The 27,043-nt window shown below is 38.7% G+C and overlaps 3 long non-coding RNA genes across 4 annotated transcripts in view; 2 read left to right on the top strand and 1 right to left on the bottom strand.

Moving 5' to 3' along the window:
* Nucleotides 1-27,043, top strand: part of LINC01317 (long intergenic non-protein coding RNA 1317) — a 590,861-nt gene that overhangs the window by 333,219 nt on the left and 230,599 nt on the right. The gene's annotated exons all lie outside the window — the stretch shown is intronic.
* LOC124905987 (uncharacterized) lies at nucleotides 707-10,995 on the top strand. Of its 2 annotated transcripts, none has more exons than XR_007086275.1 (3): nucleotides 707-762; nucleotides 8,375-8,429; nucleotides 10,971-10,995. It is a non-coding gene; the product is annotated as an uncharacterized LOC124905987 (long non-coding RNA). The 2 variants fall into 2 exon arrangements; XR_007086276.1 differs by lacking the exon at nucleotides 10,971-10,995 and adding an exon at nucleotides 8,583-8,668.
* LOC105374456 (uncharacterized) lies at nucleotides 7,851-26,980 on the bottom strand. The gene is made up of 3 exons (XR_939954.2): nucleotides 26,897-26,980; nucleotides 26,008-26,126; nucleotides 7,851-8,045 (listed from the first exon to the last, which is right to left on the bottom strand). It is a non-coding gene; the product is annotated as an uncharacterized LOC105374456 (long non-coding RNA).

The raw sequence follows: 27,043 nt of genomic DNA on the forward strand, positions 1-27,043 counted from the left end.
CATTGACTCACGGCTATTTCTCCCTCCCTCCCTTGCAATAGCACTTCAAAGTAGACCATAGCATAGATTTCCAGACATAAATAGAATCCTTAAATTAGAGCTGTGACCTGCCTTTAATAATTAACCAATAATGAGGTACTAGAAATTCATCTAATTACCTAACATATGTAAAGTTTCTGCTAAGCTGCTTTGATTTGAAGGGACAAATTAATTTAGGTTAGAATCAAATCCATTTAGTTGAAATTGTGCCTTAGCTGTAGATGATCCTGAAGCAATACATACATAAGTAACTGTGTGTCTCAGAATGCTGGTTAGTACTTGGAACTTCCAATTCAGAAATTTCTAGTCAGATTTTACAGAATGTAGTTGGAGTTATTATAATAGTTTTTGGTTCTCACTGTTAAGCTGTAGTTTTCTTGCATTCATACATTCAACCAATACATACTGACAGCCTAATAAGTGTCAGGTACTGTTCTCGGTCATGCGAGAATTACTCCCTGAGTGACAATGTTTACAATTTAACAAATCAACCATCATTGCAAGGTGGATCTAGAAACAAAGACAAATAAGGATAGTATGAAGACATAGATTCAGTATCTCTTGACTTCAAATTACAGTCTCCCCTCTCCATTGGTTGTTTAAATGTGGAATCATAGAATGTTTGGGCTGCGTGAAATCTATTCCATTCTTCTCCATGTAGAGAAAACTGAATCTGAGCAGATGAAGGGATATGCTCAGGATCACAAAGCAAATTATTGGCAGGTGGGTTCAACTCAAGATTGCTGAGTATTAGGCCAATGTTTGTTACAAGACAGTGTTAGGAATGACAGGTGCATCTTAGCAAGACCAAAGAAGCCCCTTAGGCTTTGTGAAGTCTCAGATGAGCCTTGATGGGAAATGCAAAATATGTATTTTAGGTTGTGGTCAGGGTTCTCACATTCAGGTTGGATGGTACAGTCATTGGTGCTGATTAATGTATTAAATATAATCAAATAAATAAATGTTTTTAGACAGAAAAGAAGCAGCTGGCATCTCTGAGGATTGCTCCAACTTAGGTGAAGCTGATTTCTCCCTGCATGGCCTTTATACTGATCTCATTACTGTTGAACACAGGTTCATGGACATAATAGAAACTTAGAGTTGGATGGAACATTAGAGACTATAACACATTCGTTTCACTTACCAGTTGGGATAACAGACTGAGTAAAGAAAGTGACTTGCCTAGTGATGTGCTAATAGCTAGAGACAGAGCAAAGCATCTTGATTCTTAATTCAGTGTTCTCCTGTCTCCCTATCTCGTGTTCTGATGTAATTTGGTAGAATATCAGAGCCTTGTTTCACAGGTGGTAATCAAAGGATTTACCCTTCTTTGGCAAGCAAACTCTCTGCTAGCATTATAAGATGATTCTGGGTCTGTTTGCATCCACTCTTGGATTTCTGCCATCTTTTCTTCCAGTGTGCTAAGGTATAATCATCTCTTGTTTCACAGAACATGACCACAATTCAGGAAAGGTTGTTCTGGATGGACCTTGGCCTTATTCCTTTAAGAATAAAAAAGTCATGTACATTACAGTGACTATAGTTAATTATACCATATTGTATACTTGAAATTTGCTAAGAGAGTAGAGCTTAAGTGTTCTAATCACACACAAAACAAAAGGTAACTATGTGAGGTGATGGATGTGTTTATTAAACTGTGGTGATCACTTCACTATATATATATATATATATATATCAATTTATCACATCGTATACCTTTAATATATATAATTTTTATTTGTCAATTATGCCTCCATAAATCTGGGAAGAGAACCAGTGCCCAGAAAATACATGTTTGATAAATAATACAAAAAAGAAAAGGAAAGGTGATCATTGGAGTAGAGATGAAAATTTTCTATACCCCAAAAAGAAGTTATTTAAGAAAAATCCCTACTCCCTTTATGGTTACTTCTGTCTCTGGATATAGTTCATTCTCTCAAGCATCTTATTTTACAATGATATGAGAGACGTATGCATATGTATCTGGAAAGCTATACAGATATTTAAGCAGAAGAAGCATGAAAATTATGTTGATTCCCAACACCTCAAATAATCATGCTTGAAAAAACTAAATTGTGGCTGAATAATAACCATGACTTTCACTGTAAACGATGGAAGTCCATTAGAAATCTGAGGCACAAGGTTGGTGGACCATTGCTGGCAAGCAGCAATGCTTACGTGTTAGTGGTGATTTGAAAGCCTTCAAAAGTTCAATCTGGAACGAGAGGTTTGCATAAAGCCCTTTCTATATAAGCTGATGAAAGTTCAGAGATTGGCTACTGCTGTTTGCTGGGGATGATCACAACAGAATTGCTCATGGTCTCCACACCTTCACTCAGTTGCTCTCACATTCTTTCTTCTCAGACCACATTTCCAAAATTGGCCATGTCCTGGTTACGCAGAAGTCATTATACAACAGAAAAAGGGATGCATTCCTGTTGGTCTATGTGAGCTAACAAATCCCTGATCTCAATCAGGGAAAAGTTCAACCTCATTAAATTTTCTTATTTTCTAAGCTCCTTCTATATATCCACAAATATGCTAGCTATTTATATAATTTTATGGCATGACCTGCCATGTCATATAATGTGTGCTTGTATTCTGACCTTCACCCTTTTTCTTTTCTTTTCTTTTCTTTTTTTTTGAAACGGAGTCTCCTCTGTCACCCAGGCTGGAGTGCAGTGGCGAGATCTCGGCTCACTGCAAGCTCCGCCTCCTGGGTTCACGCCATTCTCCTGCCTCAGCCTCCCGAGTAGCTGGGACTACAGGCGCCCGCCACCATGCCCGGCTAATTTTTTGCATTTTTAGTAGAGATGAGGTTTCACCGTGTTGGCCAGAATGGTCTTGATCTCCTCACCTCATGATCCGCCTGTCTTGGCCTCCCAAAGTGATCGGATTACAGGTGTGGGCCACCACTCACGGCCTTTTTCTTTTTTTTTTTTTTTTTTTTTTTTGAGATGGAGTCTCGCTCTGTCGCCATGGCTGGAGTGCAGTGGCACGATCTTGGCTCACTGCAAGTTCCGCCTCCCAGGTTCCTGTCATTCTCCTGCCTCAGCCTCCCAAGTAGCTGGGACTACAGGCATCTGCCACCATGCCCAGCTAATTTTTTGTATATTTAGTAGAGACGGGGTTTCACCATATTAGCCAGGATGGTCTCGATCTCCTGACCTTGTGATCCGCCCACCTTGGCCTCCCAAAGTGCTGGGATTACAAGCGTGAGCCACCGTGCCCGGCCCACCCTTTTTCTTAATACTCTCTTGTACCTGTTGTACTAAGATCTAACTCCTTCCCTCTTACTGCTTCCCTGGTGTCGCTCTACTTTTCCACTTTGACGTCTTCATTCTCATCATGAGAAAAACCTCAGAGTCACCAATGATATGCCTAGAAAATCTTCTCTCTCTCTTTTTTTTTTTTTTTTTTTTAACGTGTTTGCTGATAAAACAATTGCACAGAGTAGCAGGAAGATTTCTGTGGTCCTACTACTCTCACTACCTTATAATTGTGAAGAGTTCCAGATTTCCATATTTTACTGGATTTTTGTAACACTGTGAGTTAACAAACGTTTCAATCATGTTGTTTAGGTAGGAAATTGAGTCTCAAAAGATAAAGTAACAGTAAAAGTCATAGAGCCAGTTGGTAATAAAAGCAAGACTGGAGAAAGGATCTCATTTTTGTTTTAGAACATTTCCCTAAAGTATCCCAGTTTTTCATATTTTCTTATCTGTAAATTCACAGTTTGTTTCCACATAAGTAGCAGAGTCCTCAGCCTACGAACCAAGTCAATACATGATACAAGCCTGATCTACCTGACCTGTGAATGTTGCTGCTGGTAAAGGTGACAGTGAATTGCCATTGAAAAGGTAGAAGATTCAGTGAAGTCCAGAAAGTCTCTATGCAATACAAGTGTAATCTATTCATAACTTCAGGTTGTAGAGGGAAGGAAAAGGAATGCAATGAGCACTTGTTGTCTATTGGGTACGAATGCTGTGCAGGTGCTTTACTTGTGAGTGCAGCAGTCCTGTGACAGTGTTGAGTATTTTCTGCATTTTCAAAATGAGGAATGTGATGCTTTGAGAGGTTAAAGAACCAAGATTACGGCCGGGCGTGGTGGCTCACGCCTGTAATCCCAGCACTTTGGAAGGCCGAGGTGGGCAGCTCACGAGGTCAGGAGATAGAGACCATCCTGGCTAAAATGGTGAAACCCCGTCTCTAGTAAAAGAAATATAAAAAATTAGCCGGGCGTGGTGGTGGCCATCTTTAGTCCCAGCTACTCGGGAGGCTGAGGCAGGAGAATGGTGTGAACCCGGGAGGCGGAGCTTGCAGTGAGCCGAGATTGCACCACTGCACTCCAGCCTGGGTGACAGAGAGAGACTCCGTCTCAAAAACAAAAAAACAAAAAAAAAACCCCAAGATTATGCAGCCAGAGAGTAGCACATTTGTGTCAATGCGTTGCTGTGGACCATACACTTCTTCCTTGAGTAAAATTTGACTTCTCTGTCAGAGCAAATGCATTCACTTTCTCACTAAAGAGAACTAGATGCTCTCCTATACTGCAGCAGTTGAGGTATGACAGTGAAAGACATGACTTTCACTGTCTACGATGGAAGTCCATTAGAAATCTGAGGCACAAGGTCGGTGGACCAGCAGTGGAGAGCTGTTGAGGTAGTGAGTTAACAAAAGAAACAGGCCATGATTGGAATTTTAATTCAATAAATTATACTATATTATTATCATTGTCAGACTCAATAAACTTCCATGTTTCTTATCTTCTTTATTCTTTTCCTAAGAAAAAATAACAATCTTTCTTCCACTTAAACTGGTGTTTTCTTTCAGTCATGCAATCTTCAACTGTGTATTTGTGCGGTGTCATACTCATAAATTTGCATATTCTAGTACCCAAAGGAGTCCTGGGAATTTCAAGTTTAATGTAAAATAAATTTTGGAATAGAGACTCTCTAGTACTTATGCTTCCAGACATTCTCTGGAGACTTCTAATTAAAAAATAAATAAAAAGCTTTTCCAAAGCTACCAAACACATCTAAGAAGTAAAATCCCATTGACAAATACTTTGGCTGAATGCCATCAACTAAAACTTCTGCTAACAAATTTCATTGAGGCTTTATTGGGGAAAAAAGCAATTCCATTAAAACAACAACTGAATCAATTCCAGGTTGTTGCTAAAGACTGTGCTTCGGAGAGATGGTTCGGATCATTTAATTTTTTTTAATGGAAATGTGTGCATAATGAAATTTCCTCACATTCAGCCTCTTTTCTTGGCAGCAAAACATCCCTATGGATACACTTGTCAACATAACAACTAACACAGTTTTTCTTTCATCCAAGAGATAGCATTTGCAATCACTGATGAGATCTGGAAAGATCTACTAGATGGATGGTTAGCCAAACAACGTCCTAACAGTAGAAGCTTTTCCGGAGATGCTGGTGGAACAGTGTCACCAAATGTTGGTTTATTCAGTCCTCTAATGAACATTTATTGAGTTTCTGGGCGAAGTGATTGAAAGAAAGGAATTCCTCTAAAGTAGTTTTGCAGTTATAAAGCTCTATCTAGCTTAAGGGATAATAATCCATTTCCTGATTTTTTTCTTGTTACCTAAGACTGTGCTTAAGATAGTATCCTGTTTGGGGTTGGGTTAAAGGATAGTTGGAGAAAGGATGGCACTAACATTTCAAAAATCTTTCTGGTAATGAACTGAATTCACAGACTCCAAAGAGTAAATGAAAATCTGTTGGTGTAAATTAAGTGTACCCTAAGATACCTGTCAATTGCTTCTCTAGTTTATTTTAAAAATGGAATAAGCAGGCTTCAGTACTAAAATTTGAGGAATTTTTTACAATGTGAGTTGCGGGATTCTCTTACACACAGTATATGGTTATTTTCTCTAACATTATTTCTTGATTGAACCACGTTGGATATTTCTTTTTTTTTTTTGTTTTGAGACGGAGTTTCGCTCTGTCGCTCAGGCTGGAGTGCAGTGGTGCAATCTCGGCTCACTGCAACCTCTCCCTCCTGGGTTCAAGCAATTCTCTGCCTCAGCCTCCCGAATAGCTGGGATTACAGGCACCCACCACCACGCCCAGCTAATTTTTGTATTTTTAGTAGAGATGGGGTTTCACCATCTTGGCCAGGCTGGTCTTGAACTCCTGACCTCGTGATCCACCTGCCTCGGCCTCCCAAAGTGCTGGGATTACAGGCGTGAGCCACTGCGCCCGGCCCACATTGGATATTTCTAATGGTCTTCAAAATGCTTGAGCTTGTAGGAATATATCAATACGAGACCCAGAAATAGAAGGAGCGGCTTTAGAGATAAATTCTGGCTGTAATACAGAGGCTGAGTGATGCATTTTCTAAATGGTATAAGGAGACAGAGGAAACCAGCACTTCTGTATCTGTATGTTGGGCTCAGGCATGAAGTGTTAAACTCATGGTCTGCTTATAGGTTTAAAAATTCATTATAGCTGGGCGCGGTGGCTCACGCCTGTAATCCTAGCACTTTGGGAGGCCAACACGGTCGGATCACCTGAGGTCAGGAGTTCAAGACCAGCCTGGTCAACGTGGTGAAACCACGTCTCTACTAAAATACAAAAAAATTTAGCCACGCATGATGGCGAGTGCCTGTAATCCCAGCTACTCAGGAGGCTGAGACAGAAGAATCACTTGAACTGGGGAGACAGTAGTTGCAGCGAGCCGAGATCGCGCCACTGCATTCCAGCCTGGGCAGCTGAGCGAGACTCCATCTCAAGAAAAAAAATTTCATTATAAAGGTACCAAAGGAAAGTCCTGCTTGAGAGACAACATTAGGCTGATCACTCAACTGGCATGGAGTGATCTCCCTCATCTACATGGCAGGGAAGTGTGGGAGCTGCCGCTATTCAACCTCTGTCCCAAAATGCCTCAGCATGCTCTACCATGTCTTAATGTATGTATTAATGAGAGAGAGCAAAAACTGGAAGGAGATTATGCTTTTAAGTTATAAAGACACTTTCTACAATTTTCTCACTGGGCCCTTTGAATCTTCCCCAGAATGTTCTGGAATCTTATTAATAGACTTCCCTATCACCTCCAATTCCATCCCACTCCAACATCTGTCAGTTAATAAACATGGGCCTCTGTAGCAGAGTTTCTCAGACTTTAATATGCATAAAAATAGGTATACAGATTCCCTCAAGGTCTTGATAAAATGCAGATTTTGATTCAGTAGGTTTGGGGTGGGGCTGGAAGCTCTGTATTTTGAAAAAGAAGCTGGGAGATGCAGATGCTTCTGGTCCATGAACCATCCTTTGAGTAGCAAAGCTCTGGATCTGCTTTCAAGGGAATAAAATTGAATTAACATTTGTGAGTCAAAACTCATAAAAGCTATAGGCTACATACAAGGCAATGTACAGGTAATGTTTCATCTCTTTTTCTCAAGTACGTGCAAGGTGCATATTATGTCCGTTTAACAGATGAGAAAACTGGGGCTTGGAAATGTTAACTTTCCCCCAAATCATAGCAAAGCTAACACTAGATCCTAGTTTCTCTGACCTGAAAGCTCAATATCCTTTTGCCAGACTAGTGCTTCCCAGTGTTGATGCTTCTCAGAGTATGCTGACCTGCCAGCGTTTTCTAGTTTGTCAAAGAACATTCCAGGGAATAAGTAGACTGGCTTTCCACCCAAACACCGCTAATATAATTGCAGTGTGCTTTTTTTTTTTCTTCCAAAAGCCATAAATGCAGAGGGGCAATAAGAATAGAATAAAAAAATCTTTGGCATGCAAAAGAGCAGATAGGCAAGTGGTACCTGTACTAAGAAGCCCGGAGAGTGCTGAGCCGAGGTAGTTGGTGGGAGGAGTGGGAAGTCAGCTGACAGCACATTAGTGATCCTCTGCCTCAAAGGCCATCTTGAGAGTTTGCATCGTCCACCAGTCGAATAAAGTTCTAGAACTTTTAGAGTAGCTCGGATAGAGCTTAACCTTAAGCTCTACATATGGAGGACAGTAGTGAAGCCCTGAGAAGGAAAAGGCAGAAATAATGAAAAGGACAAAGAAAACGAGGATGATCAACATTATTGCCACCAATGCTTACTGTAAATGTCATAAAAATACAGGCACAAGGGAATCCCTGCCATTAAGAGACATTAGCATAAAGCAATGTCTGATGGAGCTGAATAAAAGTGACTTTTTGTCTATTTATTAAAAAGCAGAAGGGGGTCTTGTTGAAGAGGTGGCACTCTAACTGGGCTGGGGAAAAATGTTGAACGTATATGGAAGAGAAAGAGCTCTTTCTAATCCGTGTGGATCTGGAGAAGAAAAGAAACTAATACTAAATTCTTTTTAGTTCTATAATAGAAATCAGCAACCTAAAGTACTAAAACTTGAGGACTTCTTACAAGGTGAGTTGTGGGATCCCCTTTTATACAGTGCATCATTTTTTTCTCTAACATTAACCAGTTTAAAACTAACCTTAAAACCTGTTTATAGTATATAATTCAGTAGTTTTTTGTATGCTGATAGAGTGTGCAAGCATCACCACTATCTAATTCCAGAATGCTTTCATCACCCCCCACGGAAACAAAAAACACATGCCCGGCTGGGCACAGTGGTTCACGCCTGTAATCCCAGCACTTTGGAAGGCTGAGGCGGGAGGATCACAAGGTCAGGAGATTGAGACCATCCTGGCTAACGTGGTGAAACCCCATCTCTACTAAAAATAAAAAAAATTAGCCGGGTGTGGTGGCGGGCACCTGTAGTCCCAGCTACTTGGGAGGCTGAGGCAGGAGAATGGCATGAACCCGGGAGACGGAGCTTACAGTGAGCCGAGATTGCCCACTGCACTTCAGCCTGGGTGACAGAGCGAGACTTCTGTCTCAAAAAACAAAACAAAACAAAATGCCCATTAGGTGTTACTTCCCACTGTATGTCATTCTTTTTTATAGCAAATAATAGTCCATTGTTTACCCATGCCACATCTTCATCAGTTTATAGAGTCTCGGATTGTTTCCATGTTTCCTCTATTATGAATAATGCTTCCATGGACATTTGTGTACAAATTTTTGTGTGAACATAGGTTTGCAATTCTTGTGGGTGTATACCTAGGAGCAGCCTATGGTAAGTCTATATTTGACTTTTTGAGAAACTGTCAAACTGTTTTCCAAAGTGACTGTTCCATTTTGCAGTCCTACTAACAATTGTATGAGGCTTTTAATTTCTCCATATCCTCACTGACATTTATTATTGTGTGTGTTTTTCATTTTAGTCATCCTAGTGAAAGAGAAGTTGTAGCTCAGTGTAGATTTTATTTGCATTTCTCTAACAATTAATGAAGTTCTAGAATGATGTTGAGCATCTTTCCATGTGCTTATGTTCATTCAAATCCTTTGTCTATTTCCCCCCAGGTTTTTCACTTTATTTGGCATTATGGTGGGTAGTTTACCTGGGTCTGGAGGCTACGTTCTTTTTTTTTTTTTTTTTTTTTTTAGACAGAGTCTTGCTCTGTCACCCAGACTGGAGTGCGATGGCACAGTCTTGGCTCACTGCAACCTCCGCCTTCCAGGTCCAAGCGATTCTCCTGCCTTAGCCTCCCGAGTAGCTGGGACTACAGGCGTGCACCACCATGCCCGGCTAATTTGTTTGTATTTTTAGTAGAGATGGGGTTTCACTATGACCTCATGATCCATCTGCCTTGGCCTCCCAAAGTGCTGGGATTACAGGCATGAGCCACTGTGCCTGGCCACGGAGGCTACATTCTTGACCCAATTGTCTGCAACCATCTCGAGAGCACATTCTGCTGCAAACCACAATGACAAAACTGTTTCTTGGCTCACTGGAGAATAAAGTGTGAGTTACTGAATCATTGACAGCATTGTTCTCTACTTCTAACAGACTTCTTTTAGGAGGTTTGGCTAAGGAGATGTATGAACCCTGTGGTTACAGGGCACCCAAATGCATAGTTGTTCTATCTGCAAGATGACAAACAATCGTATTAGTTGTTTCTTTTTATTTTAATCCCCATAAGAAGAGTCATTAAAATAATGATTTGTGTATATTTTCTGCAGCATCTTTGCATAATGTTTATTATATTCCAATGCTTTATAAATATTGTCCCATTTGCTTGGAGGAAGGGTACTGAGTAGGTCATTTAAAAGGTCAAGAGATAAGAAAAGATCATTATAACCTAACAACATGATTATTATTATTTTATTATTTTTGATCATATGATACTAATACTTCTCAAACTGATAGGTAAAGAAGAGCTTTTTTGCTCAAATTAATTTGAGGTATGCTATATAGAGTATATCTCTCAGACATTCACAGTGCATATCAGTCTCTGGGAAGTTTAAATAGAAAGTTTGATTTCATTTATCTTATGTTTTCATGTATTATTTGACCACAGAATTCTTATCACACAATACATTTTAATCCTTGGCAGAGCTAGTGTCCCTTAAGAAGTGCTTTGGGAAATCATGGTGTCATACTCTAGATAAGATATTACAGCTCTGGGAATTTGAAGGCCAGAACAATTATTTTTAACTGTGTAGGTGGGAAGGGAATCAAAAAATCTTCATGCAATGGTGACAGCTAATGAAATATGACAATATTGTGAATCTTACTTAGAGCATAGAGCTGCTATGGTCATCATATGAGAGGGTCCTACAAAGTACAGCTGATCTTTGAACAGCATGAGTTTGAACTGCATGGGTCCATTTAGATGCCAATTTTCTTTTCTTTTTTTTTTTTTCATTTTTTTTGGGGGGGAGGTGGGGGGACGGAGTCTCGCGCTGTGGCCCAGGCTGGAGTGCAATGGCGCAATCTCAGCTCACTGCAAGCTCCGCCTCCCGGATTCACGCCATTCTCCTGCCTCAGCCTCCCGAGTAGCTGGCACTACAGGCGCCTGCTACCACGCCCGGCTAATTTTGTTTTTGTATTTTTTGTAGAGACGGGGTTTCACCATGTTAGCCAGGATGGTCTTGATCTCCTGACCACCTGATCCACCCGCCTCAGCCTCCCAAAGTGCTGGGATTACAGGTGTGAGCCACTGCACCCGGCCTAGATGCCAATTTTCTTCCATCTCTGCCACCTTTGAGACAGCAAGACCAACTCGCCCTCCTCCTCAGCCTACCCAACATGAAAACAACAAGGATGAAGACTTTTATGATGATCCACTTTCATTTAATGAATACTAAATATATTTTGTCTTCCATGTGATTTCTTAGTATTTTCTTTTCTCTAGCTTATTTCAAAGAATGTAGTATATAATACATATATCATGCAAATTATGTGTTAATAGACTGTTTATGTTGTTGGTAAGGCTTCTGGTCAATAGTAGTTTATTAGTCATTAAGTTTTGGGGGAGTCAAAGGTTATACATAAATTTTCAACTGCACAGAGGATCAGAGTCCTTAGCCCCCACATTGTTCAAGGGTCAATTGGACTCGAAAAATTTTAGTAATTTTGGCCTTAAAAAAATGAATGTTATTTCAGCAGTCAGAGACGCAGAGCTATTAGGATCCAGACCTCTCAATTTTAAATCTTATCTCTGTCACTTGTTAGCTGTTTCTCGACCTCTTCTGCAAGTTACTTAACTTCTCTATGACTTATATAACTCCCCAGTTAAATGAGAGTAACCTAGGGTTAAATTATCTAATATACATAGAATGCGTATAATAATGCCTTCGGAGAGTTTTTCAACTTTGACATGATTGACTTTTTTGGCCAGTTAATTCTTTGTTTTAGGGGGTTGTCCTAGGACCCATGGCATCTGCCTACTCGATGCCACTAGCAGCTGCCAACTCCCCAAGTTGTGGCAATCAAAAATGTCTTCAGACATTGCCAAATGTCCCATAGGGGGCAAAATTGCCTCTGGTTGAGAACTGCTGCCATAGAATAGTAATAATAATATAAAGGATATAGTAAGAATTTAATATTCTTTTTGTTTACAGGAGAATTAATTGAATATCCATTTTTCCCTGAGATAAGTATCAGTTCCACATATTTTACATCTTTGGTCCATCCCCTATTCTCTGTTAGCCTTTAATCCTGTGTTGAACAGGTAATTAATTGGCACAAATTGAAAGATAGACTGATGATAAAGGGAAATTGTCCCTGCTGGAGAGAGCAGGAAAAGATAGTTATACAGTTTTTATGGAAGATGAATAGAGAATAAATTAGGTACATCTATGTGTATATATTTTACTAAGACAATAAAATAACTTAATGATTCCAGAGAGGAAAATTACATAGGTATAAATGAGAGGGAAGCATTAAAAAATTGATGCTCAGGCTTCATGACTGAGTTCAAGTTGTGACGAATGGATAGAGTCTCAATGTCTTGTATAGAACTCCCGTCTTTTGCTTAGTCTGGCTAAAGATTTGTCAGTTTTCTTTATCTTTTCAAAAAACCAACTTTTATTTTCATTGATCTTTTTTATTGTTTGCCTTGTTTCAATTTCATTTATTTCTGCTCTGATCTTTACTATTTATATTCCTCTACTAATTTTGGGTTGGGTTTGCACTTTTCTTGTTTCAAAAGATGCATCACTATGTTGTTTATTTGAAGTTTTTTTTTTTTTTTTTACTTTTTTGATGTAGGCACTTATAGCTATAAACTTTCCTCTTTGTATTGCTTTCACTGTATCCTACAGGCTTGGGTATGTTGTGTTTCCATTTGTTTCAAGGAATTTTTCAATTTCCTTCTTAATTTCTTCATTGACCCACTGGTCATTCAGGAGCATATTGTTTAATTTCCATGTGTCTGTGTAGTTCCTAAAATTCGTCTTGTTATCGAATTATAGCTTTATTCCATTATGGTCAGAAAAAAATGCTTGATATTATTTCAGTTTTTTAAAATATTTTAAGACTTATTTTGTGTCCTAACACATGGTCTATCCTTGAGAATAATCCATTAATGAGGAGTTGACTGTATTTTTCAGCCATTGGATGAAATATTCTGTAAATATCCATAGGTACATTTAGTCTATAGTGCAAAGTCCAATGTTTCCATGTTGATTTTCTGCCTGGAAGATCTGTTCAATGCCGAAAGTGGGGTGTTGAAATCTCCATCTGTTATTGTATTGGTGTCTATCTCTCTCTTTAATTCTAATATTTGTTTTATATATCTGGGTGCTCCAGTTTTGGGTGCATATATATTTACAATTGTCGTATCCTCTTGCTGAATTGACCCCTTTATCATTACATAATGACCTTCTTTGTCTTTTTTCAATAGTTATGTCTTGAAATCTTTTTTGTCGGTATAGGTGAAGTGTGTTTCTTGTAGGCAGTAGTTCACTGGGTCTTGTTTCTAATGTATTCAGTCATACTCTATGTATTTTGATCAGAGAGTTAGTCTATTTGCATTCAATGTTATTATTGATAAGTAAGGACTTACTTTCGCCATTTTGTTATTTGTTTTCTTCTTGTCTTGTGGTCTTCGCTTCCTTCTTTCCTTCCTTTCTATTTTCATTTTAGTGAAGGTGATTTTCTCTGGTGGTCTGTTTTCATTTCTTGCTTTTTATATTTTTGTGTGTATCCATTGTATGATTTTTGATTGAGGTTACCATGAGGATTGTACATACTATGTTCTTGCCCATATTATAAATTGATGACAGTTTAACACTACATAAACTAACAAGCAAAGATAAAACTAATGAAAACGCTACACTTTTACTTTTTCCCCTTGCTTTTTAACATTTTGTTGTTCCAATTATATTTTATTGTACTATGTCTTGAAAAGTTTTCATTATTCCATCACTGTTTTGGATTGGGTCATTATTTAATCTTTCTACTCAATATATGAATAGTTTACACACCACAATTACAGTGTTATAACATTCTGTGTTTTTCTGTGTATTTACTGTTACCAGTGAGTTTTGTGCCTTCCGGTAATTTTTTATTGCTCATTAACATCCTTTTCTTTCAGAGTGAAGAATTCCCTTTAGTATTTCATGTGGGGCAGGTCTGGTGTTGATGAAAGTCCTGAGATTTTGTCTGAGAAAGTCTTCATTTCTTCTTCATATTTAAAGGATATTTTTGCCAAATCTACTATTCTAGGGTAAATTTTATTTTCCTTCACCCTTTAAATATGCCATGCCACTGTCCCCTGACTTGTAAGGTTTCCACTGAAAAGTCTGCTGCCAGACATATTGGAGCTCCATTGTATGTTGTTATTTGTTTCTTTTCTCTTGCTTCTTTTAGAATTCTTTCTTCATCCTGGGCATTTGAGAGTTTGCTTATTAAATAGATTGAGGTAGACTTATTTGGGTTAAATATGCTTGCTGTTCTATAACCTCGTACTTGAATATTGATACTTTCTCTAGGTTTCAGAAGCTCTCTGTTGTTATTCTTCGAATACGCTTTCTACCCAGATCTATCTCTTTCTACATCCTCTTTAGGGCCTCCTTAGATTTGCCTATTTGAGGCTATTTTCTAGGTCTTGTAGGTCTGCTTTAATTCTTTCTTATTATTTTTTCTTTCGTCCCCTCTGTGTGTTTTCAAATAGCCTGTCTTGAAGCTCACTTATTTTTTCTTCTGTTTGATCAATTCTGCTTTTAAGAGACTCCAAAGCATTTTTCAGTATGTCACTTGTATTTGTCAACTCCGGAGTTTCTACTTGATTCTTTTTAACTATTTCAATCTATTTGTTAAGTTTATCAGATAGAATTCTGAATTTCTTCTCTGTGCTATCTTGGATTTTGTTGTGTTTCCTCAAAACAGCTATTTTGAATTCTCCATCTAAAAGGTTACATGTCTCAGTTTCTGCAGGATTGGTTCCAGGTGCCTTATTTAGTTTGCATAGCAAGGCCATGTTTTCCTGGATGCTGTTGATGCTTGTGAATGTTTGTTGGTTTCTGGGCACTGAAGAGTTAGGTACTTATTGTAGTCTTCACAGTTTAGTTTGTTCGTACGCATCCTTCTTGGGTATGATTTCCAGGTATTCGAAGGGACTTGGGTGTTGTGATCTGTCTTTGGTCACTATAGCCATATCTGCATTAGGAGGCACCCCAAGGCTCAGACTCATGGAGGTACCACCTTGGTGGTCTTGGGTAAGATTCGGAATTCCCTGGATTACCAGTCAGAGACTCTTGTTCTCTTCCTTTACTTTTTCCCAATCAGCCAAAGTCTCTGTCTGTGCTGAGCTGCCTGGAGCTTGGGAAGGGGTGACACAAGCACCCCTGTGACTACCACCCTTGGGACTGTGCTAGATCAGAGCTGAAGCCAGCACAGCACTGGGGTCTTACCCATGGCCTGTGGTAACCACTGCCTGGCTATGCTTATGTTTGCTCAAGGCCCTCGGGCTCTTTAATCAGTAGGTGGTGAAGCCAGCCAGGCTTGTGTCCTTCCCTTTAGGGTGGTAAAATTTCCACAGGCCTGGGGTGTCTAAAGATGCCATCCACAGGCAGGGCCTGGAGTCAGAAACCTTAGGAATCTATTTCGTGCTCTATTCTACTGCAGCTGATTGGCATCGCAGGTACAAGACAAAGTCCTTTCCACTCTTCCCTCTCCTTTCCTCAAGCAGAGAAGTCTTTCCCTGTGGCCACCACGACCCCAGGCCTGCCGTAAGTACTGCCTGGCTACCATTGATATTTATTCAAGGCCCAAGGGCTCTTCAGTCAGCTTGTGGTAAACGCTGCTAGGCCTGGGACTCACTCTTCAGGGTAGTGGGCTCCTCTCCAGCCTAGGGCATGTCAAGAAATGCCATCCAAGAGCCAAGGCCTAGAACTGGGAGCCCAAGAGTTTGCTTGGTGCTCTTCTTTACTATGGCTGAGCTGGTACCTAAGCTGCAAGACAATGTCCCCTTACTCTTCCCTCTCTTTTTCTCAAGCAGGAAAAGGCCCTCCTCTTAGCCAACACATCTGAGAATGTGTGGGTTCACTCCTGATGCAGACATTTCTGTGAATTTTATCTAAGGTCCTTGGCAAGTATTGCCCGGGCACCAATGCTGATTATTCAGGGCCCAAGGGCTCTTTATTTAGCAAGTGATGAATCCTGCCAGAATTTGGTCCTTCTCTTCAAGGCAATGTGTTCCTTTCTGGCCCAGATTGTGTCTAGAAATTTCATCTGGAAACTAGGATCTGGAATGGGGACCTCAGAAGTCTGCCTGGTGCCCTATCCTACTGTGAGCTGACAAGTTACAAGACAAAGTCCTCTTTACTCTTCCTCTCCTCTCTTTAAGCGGAGGGAAGGACCCTCTCCCAGATCTGTAAGCTTTACTGCTTGAGGTTGTGGGAGTGGTGGCCTAAGGACCCCCTTGGCCACCCTAGCTGGTATCTCTTAGGTCACGTGCTCCCCAAGTCCACTGGCTCTGAGCCGAGCATAACACTGGGACTTGCCCAGGAATTTCAGTCTTTGTGGCCTAGACTGCTTTTCAAGTTTATTTAGGACCCCAGAGCACTTTGGTCCACGGTGGCAAGGCTTGGTGGAACTCAGGTTCCAACCACTGAAATGGGCAGTTTCTCTCTGGCTAGGGCTGGTCTAAATGCTGTCTGTGTGTGTGCTGGCTGAGTTCTGCCCTCTGTTGCTTTCCACTGTAACAGGGCAACACTGAGTTTCAGTGCAAAGTCCCACAATCATGGCACTCTTCCTCCCCCAAGGGCACAGATTCTGTCTCAGCACCATGCAGCCACTGCTGGGGGATGGCAGAGGGGTAGCATCAGCAATTCAAGAGTGTCTTTCCTACCTTCTTCAGTGCCTCTTTCCTTGATATGAAATTAAAACCAGGTACTGTGATAACCTGCCTAGTTTTTGCCTCGCAGGAAGGTGCTTTTATGTGTGGACAGCTGTTCAATTTGGCATTCCCTCAGGGAGGACTGTCAGTGGAGGCTTCTACTCAGCCATCTTGCTCCGCCTCCGTTTGTATAGAACTCAGATAGGTTATCACTAAAGCTGTTGGGACATTAAAAACATAATTGACATATTTTAGCCGTGGATATTCATCCTTCAGTTTTAGGTGTTGGCAAGTGGCTGGAGAATATTGGCGATTAGTCCTTCTTCAACTCTCATAATCAAAAATACTTACGAGAGCTCTAGGAAGTTTACTTCCCAGGAATAAATAGTGTGTTTAATTATATCTAATATTTACTTTGTTTTTCATCATTTATTTTAATTTAGTTTCAAAACTTTCCCAGAGTCAGTACCTTAGCTTTTTATTTTTTGTAGAGAATAAGATGCTTTGTGTAACAAACAAAAATGAGCAAGCAAAAATGACTTCAGTGTAGCTTGGCTAAATAGCATGGGGAAAAATGGCTTAAATTTTTGGATTTGAAACACTGTAATTTCCATTTTCTGTTTCAAACTGTGCAGCAGAGGAATAAACAGGGTCCCAAATTTCTTATGATGTGGCTGCCAATAACCTGGATGATCTTGGGTATGTCATTATCTTTCTGAGTCTCAACAACTTGAAATATAAAAGGAAAAGGCTAAACTAAGTCATCTCTGTGGTCCTGAGAGTTCAAACATTCTATGATTCTGAAGATGAAATCTCTCTTTTATAGGTCTACATTTATGTCAAGGAAAATGTCATTGTGAATGTTTCATCATCACAGCAAAAAATGTGAAGTAGACGATTGAGCAGTACATGTGTGTATCATGATGCAACCAGTCATCCCTTATTTATACAAATCTTGCAAGATACATGACAGTCAAAAGCCTTTCTATATTCAAGTATAAAAAAATCTATACAATTATATTCGACTGGTTAGCAGCTTGTGCCTGGGGTTTTTATAGAGTTATATTTCTTTTCTGTGTTCAGAGAAGGGTTTTCTAAATGAATATAAGATATGGGACACTTTACTTGGCAGTATCTTTTAAACTGAGGACTAAAATTATTAAAATATAGCTCATGATTTATTCCCTTTATTTGTTTCATTAAGCCTCGTTTTTATTTTCTCAGAAAATAATATATATTTTGTCATCATAGAAATGAGTTTCAAATAGGAACAAGGAATGAGATTACAGATTTAGCCCACATGCAACAAATCTGACGTATGAAAACCTAAATTATTCATTTTTTCCCAAATATTTATAAATATGAATTTATTCCTCAAGAATCATATTACTATAGACCATTTAACCTGATATGCATTCATTCATTTATAATTAAAACAAATTCAATTTATACACAATTTTTAGGATTTCATTTATTGCTTAAAGTCAACTTAATGTATTTAAGCAACTTTTGATTTTTTAAATGAAACTGCAAGTAAAATTTCCATTTGATGAGGTGAGAGAATTGCTTCAGCCCAGGAGATCAAAGTTGCAGTGAGCTATGATCGTGCTGCACTCCAGCCATATGTGACAGAGCAAAACCTTGTCTTGAATATATGTGTATATTTAAGACAAAAACCTTAAATATATATATATTTAAGACAAAAACCTATATGTAAGACAAAACCTTGTCTCAAATATATATATTTGAGGGTTGTAATTGCATTGAACTTGAAAAATAATGCAAAATGAGGGGACAAATAAAAGTTAAAAAAATTAGGTTAATATGAAACAAAAGAACTACTGTTTCCAACTTTGAAGCTGAATAGACTAAGAAAAAATAAATACAAAATCAAAATAGTGGCCTGATTTTGGAATTTAAGGATTAAGAAAGGGATCCCCTTGCTCAACGTGCCCCTCTTTTTCTCTCTCCTACCCACCACACATTTATAATTGGGAGCAATAGGTTCATTTACATTTTGTTTCCCACATGGGAGAAACTGAAATCTGGAAGTTTTGTGAAGATTCTGCTACACTAGGGATTCAGATAGGATTGCTCAGCTGATAATGCTGAGTTTCCAGAATGGCAAACTTCATATTGGCCTACATCTCCATAAAAATGTATTTAAGAAATTGAACATTCTTTGTGTTTGGGGTCAGGAGGGTTCTAAAGATGAAAAAGAAGAACTGATTCATTTTACACCTACCTTGAGCTTAACACTGTGTTAGTCACTTTATGTGTAAGGCTGATAATATTTTCTGTATTTCACTGAATCAGACATTAAAACCCCTTTATGCCTAGTGTTCCATTATAGGAACGCTAAGCATGTGGGAGTTATTTATATCCAACTGCTCAAAGTCATCAGCAAGGTCTGATTGCAAAAATTCAAAAAATTGCAACCTCAGGCATAAATGGGTTAATGCCTGGCAAGTATAGCAACTGGGCCTCAAACCTAGCCATCAGATTTAATACATCATCTCTTGTCATATATTAACTCCCTAAAATATAGTCATAGTCTACAGGTTGCTTATCTGCTGGTGTTTTCTTATGATTGCAGAAAAATTAACACTTGTGGGTGTGGTAATTAACATTAGGGAAATATAAAATGGTGTTGGAGGAGATCAGGGTAGGAAATGATTGTATTTAATGGAGCAACTGAAAAGTCTTTGTGGGAAAAATGGTATTTGAGACCAGTTCTCAAGAAATGAGAGAATTTTAACAAGTGGAGATAGGCTCTGGGGGATTCTAGAAGAAAGGAAGGACTCAGCTAAAATTACATAGGCAAGAAAGTACAAAAGTAATCAAGAAAAAGAAATTAGAGTTTTATGGAGGTTTTAAAGTAAAAAAAAAAAACCAAGGAGTTATTAAATACTAAGAAAGTGTTTAGTTTAAAAGACATTTAAAGAGGATATCGGATGGAAGTATTATTTTAAAGGACTTTGAGGAAAGTTGTGACTAGTGAAGAAAGATTAATGTTGCCTCACAAAGAGACCAAAAGTACAGAGCTCAATTAGGAAATAATTATAATAGACCAAATAGATGTGGGTCTTGGCAACTGATTGTATGTGACAGCATAAGAGAGGTGTTAGAGACACTTTTCTGGTATTGTTTTCTGTTCTTTTCTTTTTAACTACAAAATACTACTTCCTTTTGTACTAGTTAGTGGTTTCTTATATTAAAGTTTCCCTGATCAAATTACTGGTGTGGTTTCTGTCTCTGACAGGATTCTCACAGACACATTATTGTTCTACATATAATAGATATCACATAGATGTAGCATTGGGTAATTTCAGAGTGTGCCTTCTAAATGTTGGTATATTTTCTTTTCCAAGCACTAGCAATTTATCGTCATGCAGCAGAATCTACCTCCAAATTTAGTCCAAGAACCCGTTACCCAAGTATATGCTGAAATAAAAACAAACACCATAAAATTCCTCTAGTGAAATGAATTTGAAAAATGTATAAAAATATTTTTTCTCTCCTGCAACAGGCATATTAAAGAAACAAATATTTGAATAAGAACAAGATAGAATAAAAATAACTTAAGATTTAACTGTGATTTGTTGAAATTGTATGATCTAAGATAGATAAATCATCAAATGAAGAAATCAAACACAAAATATGTTTTGTCAATCCTCTATGTCCACACTAGTGAAGAGAAATAAGAATATTGGTTAGTTCTTGTAGAAATTATTGTTTTTTTCTAGAGACATCGCCCAGGGACATTCTAAGATCTAGACCAGAGGTAAGAAATTATGGCTACAGGTTAACCTCCTGTTTTGTAAATAGAACTCTAAAGACAATTTACATGTTGTTTATACCGCTTTTGCTTCACAGTGCAGAACACAGTAGTTGTGACAGGGACCACATTATCCCCAAAGTCTCAAATATTTTCTCTCTGTTCCTTCAGGGAAGTTTACCAACCCTGGAGAACATCAGCTCTCCCTTTCTTCCCTCTTTGCAATTGAATCTTGAAAGAAGCTAAACAAATGGACATGGATGTGTTTCAATAAAACTTTATTTACAAAAACCAGCTGCGGGCTAGATTTGGCTTAGAGGCTTTAGTTTGCTGACTCTTCTAGAGCAGAGTATGTAGGTAATAAATATTTACTGAACAAATGAAACAAATGGATTGTTTTTACATTCTAAAATTGCCTGCACGTTCTCTTCTTTTTTCAGTGTGTGTGGTATCTAGATGAGATGCATGGTGATGACTGGAGACTGGGCGTGATGAATGACTTAGGAAACCTCTGGAGGGTGCCTGCTTTGTGGCCATAAACCACTGTGCCCATGTGGAAAACACTGCAGTCCTGGGGCAGAAGATAAACTTCATGCTTGATAAAAAAAAAAAAAACAACCAAAAGGTAAGGTTTTCTTCTGGTGTGCTGCAGTCTTTAGTCTTCTTCTGTTTTCCATTCCCACTGGCAGTTCAAAGATGTCCTTAATCCATCATATGCCTCTTGAATGTGTGCTGTGGGTTTACTGTCATGATGAAAAACTACTTCATGAACTTAGTGAAGGAACTCGGGATTGAGTCCGAGCTGCTTACATAGCTTCTGGGGAAAATTCACCCAAATGTGGGGGAAGCAATCCAAGAGGCACTTCAAGTATTTGTTTTGAAATAAAAATATTGACAGTGGTACATATTTTTTTTCCCAAAGGTGTTTGTTATTCCATAAATCCAGATAGGTGAATTTCATTAGCGAACTTCAGATCACTGATTTGATGATACTACCTCTGTTATGTCTCAAATCTGCCCCGGCACCTCTATCCTACTGCTGCTAGTATAATTCAGACCCTCTCCCCTGAACTGTTACCTTAGACTCCTCATGTCTCTAATTTGTTTTACCTTTCTCAGCTAGATTAATCTTCCTGAAGCACAAATCCAATCATGTCAATATTTTTCTCAGAAACAAAATAGTATCCCTTTGCCTGGAGAATAAAGTCTAATCTTAGCCAGTTGACTCAGCTCCGGCTCCATTTATCTCCACCATTCATTACCTCTCCTGCTTATAACCAATTACTGGCATACCTCAGAGACATGATGGGTTCAGTTCCAAACCACCACAATAAGGTGAATATCTCAATAAAGCAAGTCACACAATTGTTTTGGTTTCTCAGTGCATATAAAAGTTATATGTACATTGTAGCTTATTAGGGTACAAATTGAATTATGTCTAAAAAAATCTATATACCTTAATTTAATAAAAACTAGCATATTACTAAAAAATGCTAACAATCATTTGAACCTTCAGCAAAGTATAAACTTTTTTCCAGTCTTGCCTTAATGTTGATGGCTGCTGACTAGTCAGAGAAAATGATTGCTGAGGGTTGGAGTGGCTGTGGCAATTTCTTAAAATAAAAAAATGAAATTTGCCGCATCAATTGACTCTTCCTTTCACAAAAGATTTCCCTGTAGCACGTGATGCTGTGTGATAGCATTTTACCCACAGAAGAACTTCTTTAAAAATTGGAGTCAGTCTTCTCAAACCCTGACGCTTCAACTTAAAGTCACTAGCTGCATTAACCCTTGCTAACAAGAGAGTCAGCCTGTCCTTTGACGTTTGAAGCCAGGCATTGACTTCTCTCTAGCTATCAAAGTCATAGACGGCATATTCTTCCATTTTAAGGTGGTTTCAGTTGCATGAAAAAACTTGTTTAGTGTAGCCAGCTTCATCAATGATCTTAGCTAGATCTGGATAACTTGCTGTAGCTTCTACATCTGCATCGGCCTGCCTCATCTTGAATTTTTATGTTATGAACAGGGCTTCTTTTCTTAAACCTCATAAACCAACTTCTGTTACTGTCGGACTTTTTTTCTTCAGCTTTCTCCCCTCTTTCAATCTTCAGAGAACTGAAGAGAGTTAGGGTCTTGCTTTCGATTAGGCTTTGGCTTAAGGGAATGTTGTGGCTGGTTTGAACTTCTATCGACATGGCGAGTGACCATGGCCCGTGACACAGACCTCAGGAAGTCCTCAGAACATGTGCCCAAGGTGGTTGGGGTGCAGCTTAGTTTTATACATTTTAGAGAGGCATGAGACACCAATCAAATACATTTAAGAAACACATTGGTTTGGTTCAGAAAGGCAGGACAACTCAAAGTAGGGAAGGGTGGGAGGAAGCGGGTGGCTTCCAGGCTATAGGTAAATTTAAACATTTTCTGGTTGACAATTGGTTGCATTTGTCTAAAGACCTGGAATCCATAGAAAGGGAAAGTTCAGGTTAAGATAAAAGATTTGGAGACCAAAGTTCTTTCGAAGTCTCATAATGGCTGCCCTTAGAGACAATAGATGACAAAGTTTCCTATTCAGATCTTAGTTAATCTCTTTAGGATTGGGAGAGTCTGGAAGAAAAAGAACTAGCAATGTTAATAGAGATTCTTTATAGATGCATATTTTCCCCCCAAAGAACACCTTTGCAGGGCCATTTCAAAATAAGGCACATAAACATGTTTTGGGGTGAAGTAAGTTTGATTTTTTTCCTTGTCTCATAATGTTATGCCAGAGTCGGGTTGGAAAGTAAGTCACGATATATAAGGTTCAATAAAACCTATCTGATGAGAATTTATGATTTGTAGGGCATGATTCCCCAGACCTCTTAGATAGGCATTCGGGCAAGATAAAAAAAAAAAAAAAATCAGAGTTGGCCGGGCATGGTGGCTCACACCTGTAATCCCAGCACTTTGGGAGGTCTAGTTGGGTGGATCACAAGGTCAGGAGTTGGAGACCAGCCTGGCCCACATAGTAAAACCCTGTCTCTACTAAAAATACAAAAATTAGCTGGGCATGGTGTTGTGCACTTGTAGTCCCAGCTACGTGGGAGGCTGAGGCAGGAGAATCACTTGAACCCAGGAGGCGGAGGTTACAGTGAGCTGAGATCATGCCACTACACTCCAGCTTGGGCAACAGAGTGAGACTTCATCTCAAAAAAAGAAAAAAAAATCAGAGTTTAGTCCTCACAGACCACTAAAACTTCTTTCATATCAGCAAGAAGGCTGTTTTACTTTCTTACCATGTATATTCATTGGAATAGCGCTTTTAATTTCCTTCAAGAACTTTACCTTTGCATTTACAACTTGGCTGTTTGGCACAAAAGGCCAACCTTTGGGCCTACTGTGGCTTTAGAAATGCCTTCCTCACTAAGATTAATTATTTCTAGCTTTTGATTTAAAGTGAGAGACCTGCAACTTTTCTTTTCACTTGAGAACTTAGAGACCATTGTAGAGTTATTAATTGGCTTAATTTAAATATTTTTATGACTCAGGGAACAGGGAGGTCCAAAAGAGAAGGAGAAATGGGGGAGCAGCCTGTTGGTGGAGCAGTCAGAACACACACAACATTTATTACATTTACCATGTTGCTTGGGCATGGTTTGTATCACCCCAAACCAATTATTATAGTAACTTCAAAAATCATTGATCACAGAGCACCATAAAGGACATAAAACAATGAAAAAGTTTAAAATTTTGCAAGAATTAGCAAAATGTGATGCAGAGACACAAAGTGAACATATGCTGTTGTAAAAATGGTGCCGATAGACTTTCTTGATGCAAGGTTGGCACAAACCCTTAATTTGTTAAAAAAAAAAAAGAAAACAAGAAACTATTATTGAAAGTGCAGTAAAGTGAAGCACAATAAAAGGAGATGCTCCTGTACTTCCTTTCATGGAAGGTGGCCAGATAAAATACAGGAAATCCACTTAATTTGAATTTTATGTAATAAATGGGTAACTTTTTAGGATAAATATATCTCAAATATTGTGTGAGAAATATTCAGAGGAAAAAAGTATTCATTATTTATCTGAAATTTAAACTCAACTGGGTGTCCTGTATATTTATTTGCTAAATCTGACAACCCTACTTTCATGTCTACCATGTTTACCGGATTAAAATAATCTTTGTTCTTGGCTGGGCATGTTGGATCACACCTGTAATCCTAACATTTTGGGAGGCTGAGGCAGGTGGATCACTTGAGGTCAGGAGTTGGAGACCAGCCCGGCCAACATGGTGAAACCTCTTCTCTACTAAAAATACACAAAATTATCTTGATGGAGTGGTGCCTGTCTGTAATCCCAGCTACTGGGGAGGCTGAGGCAGGAGAATCGCTTGAGCAATTGAGGTTGCAGTAAGTGGAGATCACGCCACTGCCTTCCAGCCTGGGCAAAAGGGTGAGACTACGTCTCAACCAAAAAAAAAAAAAAAAAAAAAAAATTCTTTGTTCTCTTGTTCTCTATATGTACCTCATGATTTTCAGCTGTTCTGATTTGGCCAGAATTACCCCCTAACTACCTAGATGCTATAAATAAAAGTATAGGGCATAGTGCATCAACACCCCTTTTGCAAAGTTGACGTGATGTAGAGAAAAGGATATAGATGAGAGAGCAGGAGATATACTTTGATTATCATCATGACTTCAACTTGGCCAGCTCGGTGACTTTAGAACAAATGACTTAATTTATCTAGCCTTCAGTTTCTTCATCTACACGGTGAGGATAATGACACCAACTTCACATGATTGTTTTTAGAATTAAGCATGAAACTTTAAAAAATCTTTATAAAAACATATAGCTCATTGAAGCACTTCAATAAATGACAGCACGTTATTGATTTTATCCTCATATCAGCGCTTCTCAAACTTGAGAACCCTCAACGTACCCACCCCCAAAACGTATCTGTGGATTCCAATGTAAGAAGTACTTCATTAAATAGTTCAATGTAAAAGTGGTTACTGTAGATGATCATTTCGTATCTTATAACTGTAAATGCTAATCAGACTTAAGCAATGAAACTCGGTGGCAAAACAAGGTCACTAAGTATTTATCTAGATAATCCAGAATAGAATTTTAGTTTTAGATTCTCAACAAAAACAAAATATTTTAAAACTGTCATAAAAAAACTTTATGGAGTCACAAGAATATACCAACAGATCCTCATTACGGAAACACTGTAGTGTATCATACTTGTACACGTGCTTTATTCTCTGCTAGACAGATTGTCTTTGGAAAGGCTACATTTTTGGGGTCTCTGTTTCTTCTCCATGGATTCTTCTGCAGAGTGGAATGTTATATTGAGGACTGGAGGGCTAGTTAACTAAACAGATAAATACTGACCTTTTGATGAATTCAGAAGTATAGGCTTTAAGTGGTGACTTACGTGTATGTTCAGCCAATTTACCACTGCATTAAAAGCCCCTTCTTGATATTTTATTCATTTCATCTCTGCTAGGTAGGAAACGTGTTATGTGGCTTTGGTCATGGTATACTGGACATCTCACCTGGCTGGCGTGTACTGAGTCAACCACATTTTCTCTCGCAGGATACAGAAATTGTTGTTAGTCTCTGGTGGGTGCTTAAAATGAAAGTTGTTCTCTGGCTCCCACAGGGCATCTGAATTCTGCTGGGAAAAGCAGAGAAAACTGTCTGCAGAGGGTAATAGTAATGCAGTAGTTACTGAATATAAGTATGGAGAAATTGCAAAGTAACATTATGACCTGGCTTTCTACTTTTTGATAGAGTCCCTTATGGGAATAAAGTGGTCATAACTTCTATTGTTGTTTAAGGGAATTTGAAGCAATTTTTTGTTACAACCAAATAATCAAATTCAGACACCTGGGTCAAAATTGGAACTGGACTATACCTGTCAAGAGAGTTGCTTGGAATAGTGAGGAACACCTGTGGGCAGTGTAAATTTTAGAGCAGGTGGTATGCATAGTGCTGCATCTTCACGGAGGAAGCTAATGGAGAGTGAGTGGGAATGGTAGATGGGTAAGAGAAAAGACCACTGATTGGCTGAGTGGCCATCAAAACACTTGGAGAAATTGTCTAATGAAATTTTTACTCAGTCATAGTATACAGTCTGTACCCTCACTTTCCTTTTCCCATGAAATGCTTGGAAAAGTTATAATATTTACTAAATTTTGGAATGTCTTATATTTTTTAAAATAATGAATATGCAGGACAAATAAGTTAGAGGGTGAGGTTGAAGCCTGGTTTGACTAAATGTAGCAATGGGGCCCAGAGTTGGGTTTCAAATATCCTAGGCTGTTGCTTCAGTTTTCATTTGAAGAAAGGGTTTTGCTGATAACATTTTTTTCATGAAACCAGTATAGAAAGAGCCTTGGATGAGGAATTAAAAGATATGGATTAACATCCACGATGCCTCACCTCTTTGTTGCATCTCAGGTTATGTTACTGATAGAATAATCCTGAAAAATATTAGAAGGTTTTTATAAAGCCTGAATATTATTTTTAAAAAGATGAAAGCAGTTTGTAAACTGTAAAAGACTAAAGAGGGAAATGATGACATTATTT

The sequence above is a fragment of the Homo sapiens genome, chromosome 2 (genome assembly GCF_000001405.40).
Source record: "Homo sapiens chromosome 2, GRCh38.p14 Primary Assembly".
Classification (NCBI taxonomy): Eukaryota; Metazoa; Chordata; class Mammalia; order Primates; family Hominidae; genus Homo; species Homo sapiens.